The following is a 6,000-nucleotide window of genomic DNA, read 5'->3' as shown; positions in this document are numbered from 1 at the left end:
ACTAGACAATACTTTTACCACTTTCCCTTCTCAGAAGTCAGACCTGTCCTCAGAATGCTACAGCGTACAGCCCATTTGAGCTCCTGTATGGATGCTCCTCTTTATTAGGCCCCAGTCTCATTCCAGACACCAGACTAACTTAGACTGTGCCCCAGAAAAACTTGTCATCCCTACCATCTTCTGTCTAGTCACACTCCTATTCACCGTTCTCAGCTACTCATACATGCCCTGCTCTTGTTTACACTGCCGGTTTACACTGTTTCTCCAAGTCATCACAGCTGATATCCCCTGGTGCTATCCCCAAACTGCCACTCTTAGCTCTTGAAGTAAATAAATAATCTTTACTGGCAAGGCTATGCTGAACCTCCTTAGGCACTCTCTAATTAGATGTCCCGGGTCCTCCCAATTCTTAGACCTTTAATACCTGTTTTTCTCCTTCTCTTATTCCGTTTAGTTTTTCAATTCATACAAAACCGTATCCAGGCCATCACCAATAATTCTAAATGAAAAATGTTTCTTCTAACAACCCCACAATATCACCCCTTACCACAAAATCTTCCTTCAGCTTAATCTCTCCCACTGTAGGTTCCCACGCCGCCCCTAATCCCGCTCAAAGCAGCCCTGAGAAACATCACCCATTATCTCTCCATATCACCCCCAAAAATTTTCGACATCCCAACACTTTACCACTATTTCGTTTTATTTTTCTTATTAATATAAGAAGACAGGAATGTCAGGCCTCTGAGCCCAAGCTAAGCCATCATATCCCCTGTGACCTGCACGTGCACATCCAGATGGCCGGTTCCTGCCTTAACTGATGACATTCCACCATAAAAGAAGTGAAAATGGCCTGTTCCTGCCTTAACTGATGACATCGTCTTGTGAAATTCCTTCTTCTGGCTCATCCTGGCTCAAAAGCTCCCCTACTGAGCACCTTGTGACCCCCACTCTGCCCGCCAGAGAACAACCCCCCTTTGAATGTAATTTTCCTTTACGTACCCAAATTCTATAAAACGGCCCCACCCCATCTCCCTTCGCTGACTCTCTTTTCGGACTCAACTCACCTGCACCCAGGTGAAATAAACAGCTTTATTGCTCACACAAAGCCTGTTTGGTGGTCTCTTCACACAGACGCGCATGAAACATATCAACTAAATGCACAGGGCTAATGTTGAAGGCGCTCTGAGGATTGGATGGTAGCAATGTATCAATGTTAATTTTCTGAAGGCTATACTATGGTTAGGAAGGACAGTGTTCTTGTTTGTAAAAAATACCATTCAAAGGTGATAGGACATTAGATCAGAAACTTACTCAGGAAAAGAACAGTCCTTTTGCTGTGCTTCCAACTGTTTTATAAGTTTGTGGCTATTTCAAAATTTAAAAAAAAAAAAGAAAGAAAGCAACTGTTCCAAGCAATGTAACTATCTTCAAGTACAATGTCAAATTTGTACATGCTAGCTAAGGTAATCAATTCCCTGCTCCCCCCAAGAAAACACAGTGAGGTATTTTCAGTTGCTGAATATCAAATGTTTATTCTTTGCCTTCTTACTACTGTTAAAATCTCTTTGATAAGTGGCTCCTCTTAAAACTGGATTTGATTTCACAGAAATTTTGTGAATTATTATTCATCTTGAGGTGTCCCATGCTGGGGATGAGGATGTGTCGAGGCACAGCTTGGACAACCAGGCCAGGTGGGCCACCATGAAGGTTCTCCTCCCCATACCCCACCCCACACACAGAAACCTGCAAACAACTCAGGGAACACCTGTGCAAAGCCAGTCAGGTTGTCCAAGTCAGCTGAAAACAGAACACCATACTAGATTCAAATTACAAGTTCAGTACTGTACTGTACACATCCAGCATTACACATGCTTAAGATAATATAAGTATGCATAATGACATATCGGGTCTCACTTGTAAACTATAAGCACACAGTTACAAAATGTTAAACTACAACATAATCCCAGTTTACCTAAAGTTACAAATGTTGTTGCATCGACATTGGCTGCTTCAGAAGCCTTGGGCATGCAGACAGGAAGTAGAGAAAATATTCCAGCTAAGAATAATCATATTCCACATATTTAAGAATCTTTCTAGCCAAATCATATTCTAAAGAAGGCTATCTTGAAGGGCCAGGGCCAATTTCCAGGCTGTGTGGTTTTTATGAGAGGGAATTGTGCCCTGACACATATGTGCTCTTCACAGATCCTGGAATTATGAATGCAGGTAGACCACTGTGATTCCCAGGGTGACTTCAGCCTCTGGGAGCAAGAATACCTAGTGGCCTCTGGCTCAGGGGAGTCTCTCAACCCTGGAATTCCACCCAGGTCTGGAGGGCTGCTCCAGGCTGATGGGGACCATTTTGACCTGTCAAGCCCAGAGGCACCATGGGTATAGTCTGACAGCAACCTATAGTAACTGCAGCTTTCAGGCTAAATGAATATTCTGCTCTACCCCATGAGAATGCTGGCCCATTAAAGATGATTTTGTTTGCAATTTTAATATGATCTACAAAAAGAACTAAACTTGTAATTAATAGCACCATGAAAACATAGATAATGGTAGAAAATAGGATAATAAAATAAATTTGCTTTCAATTCCGGGCAATGTTTCCTACCACTAACTTGAACAAAGTAAACCATTTTAACTGAATTTGAGAAAAGAACATGTCTTTCTGGAGCAAAAATATTCTTGTAGGGAGAATATAGGCAAATATATTCATTATGAATTTTATATACATATGTGTGTATATATGTATGCATAGATATATAAAACTATTGAGCAGCAGAGGAAAGAATGTAAGACATAGCTCTCTATTGAGAGTGGCTGTTGGGCTGTCAAGCAGTCATGTAGAAGTATTTTTAAAAAGAAAATTGAGGGCACAAGAAAGCATCTAAAGTCTTGGTAAAATGGTCAACTGGGGTTCAGCAATTGAAGGAGAGTACTGAGTATGTACTAATGTACAGTTCACATCAACATCTCAGAAATAAAATAGCTCCAGCTTTGAAGCATCTCCCTTGACTGATTAAAAGAGGAATTCTCATCCCTACAGAAAGAAGAGGTAGTATGATAGTGAAATGCGGACAGATGCTGGTCCTTGGCTGCTCATTTGCTTTGCAGATTCAGTACCCCTGGCATCTTTAAAACATTTTTCTTGTAAATGTGTTTGTTTTACTGGCTGATGCACTGCTAGGAGCAGATGTGGAGACAGGGATTCCACTCCCAGTGAGCACACAGGAGCTGGGCTTTCTCCAAAGCTGGTTGCAAGAGGGTGTTTGTTTTGAGAGGACTCGGCAGTACCAAGGCAGTCTGTTAAAATCCCCATTGACTGATACAGTCATTCTTCCAGATTGAACAAAACACCAGCAGAAGATGTATGTAGTTAAGTCAGACTCTCCGTGGTCCCGGAAATAAGAGAATCTTGCACTTCAAGTTGAGGAAAACTGGCCAACGTGCTTCATGCCTGGGTGCCAGAGTTCCATATTATAGGGTCACATCTGTAACAAAAATTCAGCATAAATTATCTAAATGCTCTCCATGTGCCAGTTCCCTACAAGAAGCTTTCCCCTCTCCATTGCCTTTCATACACACAAACACACACGTGCACACACACACACACACACACACTCACACACACACCATGCAAACTCATCTTTATGCTTCAACACCCAGCACCAGTTCCCCATTTCCAGAGAAGTTTAGCTCTCGACTCCTATAACAGACATTATCTAAACTCATCACTTTGAAACTGTCCACCTCTGATTGCAGCTGCTGCTGGGGCAGAAAGCGCTGCATGGGCTGACTGTTCTAGCACAACAGCCCCACTGCATTTCACTGCTTTTCTGCCTCCAGACTTTCTCTGAAGACTCATCCCAAGTAGGCTCATCCCAAGTAGAGGCACAGCTCAGAGATGAGGGAAAGCTAATGCCCTCCGCAGGCAACCCCAAATCAGTGAGGATGGAGCCAGTGGTTGCCATCCTTCAAGAGAATGATTCTGGGAGGCATCTGTACACTTCTCAGAGGTCCAATGAAGTCAGGCCTCTGTGGCCTGGAGCTGAGACCTTGATAATAATGCGCCCTTCATTTGCTTCTCCTTGTTGGCTGTCTCACTCTCCCTGCCCCCTCACCCCTTCTTCCTGGGATCACCTCCCAAATAAACTACTTGCACCCAAGTCCTTATGTCAGGTTCTGCTTGTGGGGATCCAAACAGCCAGAACACATTAAGCAAAGAGATTGAGAGATCATATATTTTTTAAACAGCAAAGTAATGAAACATAAGCTCTTTGCAAGTGTCAAAGCTAGGTATTAACTGTCTAGGGAACCAAAAGAGTCACTGAACACTTTGAGCATCAATTTCTGTCATCTAAAACATGAAATGTGAACTCAAGGATCCTTTTTAGCTCCCATCCCATGCTATAATTCCATGACAACGCAAGCTATGTGTGTCCCCTTTAGATAATCTGTAGCCACTGAGGGGTGGAAAAATGCAGTGGCTTCTGTCTCATTACACATCGCACATCATTCGAACCTCAAGGGCATAAGACATGAATTTTCCACAATGGAAGCTTCAAACTTTCTGGGTGCTCCTCAAACTTGGCAACTTTCAGTTTTCTGACTCTTAACAGAAAAGGTCAAATTTCCATGTTACTGAGACTTCTAAAGCCATCCAAGTTCTCTAAACTTGCACACTCTTTACCTCAAAATAACCAGATATCTTCATCAATTTCTCCTTCTTCCCTCTAGCAGTACCAGCACAGATCTCTCTTCCTAATCTCAGTCCAAAATTAGCATATATCTGTCCAAATTCCCCAGAGTGCCTCACTCAGTAACTCACACTTAACTGATGCTCAATAAACGCTCATTGAATGACTGAATGAACCCTTCAACAAAAAACACTTAGAATCATCCCAACTTTTGAAACATCAATGGGAAAATTGCCTTGATACTATGGTGGTTTATGAGCTGTTTGTGTGTTTAGTTTCAATAGTGGCTTACAAACCTATTGCTTGTTTGTTTTCAATATACTGCAGAAAATATAAATCTAGTTAAAAGTGAGAAATCCAGATTTTCACAGAAAATTCTAGAATTAGGCCTTGGAGATGTTTTCCTTTCCTTTAAAATTAAAAAAAAAAAAATTAACATTCCAGGCTTACTGTGAAGAAACCTCTTCCCTTCCCAAACCCCCAAATGGAGTCATACCTGTGAGTCTAGATTTTTTGGCTGTGTTCACTGCTCTCATGAACATGTATTCACCGTTAGGGTCGTGCACACTGGATGAATACTTCTGAAAGAAAAAGCCAGAAACATGCTTGGTCATCTTTTCTTCTCCATCTCTTTGTTTTTTGACTGTTTTCTATTCTTTGTTGAAGTGGTATGTGACAAAAACATGATAATGTGACTTAGGTTCCTGGCTTTAGGCTAAGTAGAAAAACAATATGAAAAGGGCTTTACATAAAAAGAGCTTTCTACTGAACTTTCTTCCTCGTTTTTGCCTTTATTGTTTCTTTCCCAGCAGACTTAGACCATGGGCGCTATCTCATTCTCTTCCTTCTTTATGTCTCTTTCCAAATTCCACTCTCCCACAGATATACACTGGCCAATGACCACACTGTGGATATACTTGAGTACTAGCATACTCGCGTAATATGCAGAGTGGTGTCAGTTCTTTGATTGAGAACCTGTAATGCAAGAGACCAAAAAGAATATCCCCCAGCACAGGGAGATTTTTGTTGTTGTCATTGTTGTTTATCTTTCTAAATAGCTCCTCAGTGGTTTTCTTTAAAAGCAAGGAGTCTAATAACCTACCATGTAAAAAAGTTGTCAATTTCCTTCTCAGCTACAATTGACACCTTAGAAGGCTTTCTTGCTGACTGTTTTTAACTTACCAGCTAAGCAAAACTTATAACTAATTGTTTCATCTCTGCCCTGCCTCTCAGGAACCTTGGATTCAAATTCGCAGCCCATGCATAATAATTTTTTAAAAATCAGAGTCATCTATTT

General features: G+C 41.4%; 1 protein-coding gene across 3 annotated transcripts in view; it reads right to left on the bottom strand.

Annotated features, from left to right (window-relative positions):
* The window catches only part of ICOS (inducible T cell costimulator), a 24,815-nt gene continuing 20,320 nt past the window's right edge, over nucleotides 1,506-6,000 (bottom strand). For 2 of the 3 annotated variants that reach the window (NM_012092.4, XM_047444022.1), the window contains exons 4-5: nucleotides 5,200-5,284; nucleotides 1,506-3,497 (exon numbers count right to left, since the gene is read on the bottom strand). In NM_012092.4, the coding sequence (NP_036224.1) occupies nucleotides 3,484-3,497; nucleotides 5,200-5,284 (99 nt within the window). In that variant the 3' untranslated portion in view covers nucleotides 1,506-3,483. Of the gene's footprint in view, nucleotides 3,498-4,999; nucleotides 5,113-5,199; nucleotides 5,285-6,000 lie in introns of all 3 variants that reach the window. The other variant, XR_007073112.1, reaches the window with a different exon arrangement.

The sequence above is a fragment of the Homo sapiens genome, chromosome 2, assembly GCF_000001405.40.
Source record: "Homo sapiens chromosome 2, GRCh38.p14 Primary Assembly".
NCBI classification, from domain to species: domain Eukaryota; kingdom Metazoa; phylum Chordata; class Mammalia; order Primates; family Hominidae; genus Homo; species Homo sapiens.
Note: the sequence above shows the minus strand (reverse complement) of the source record. Positions and strands in the feature narration are given on the sequence as shown.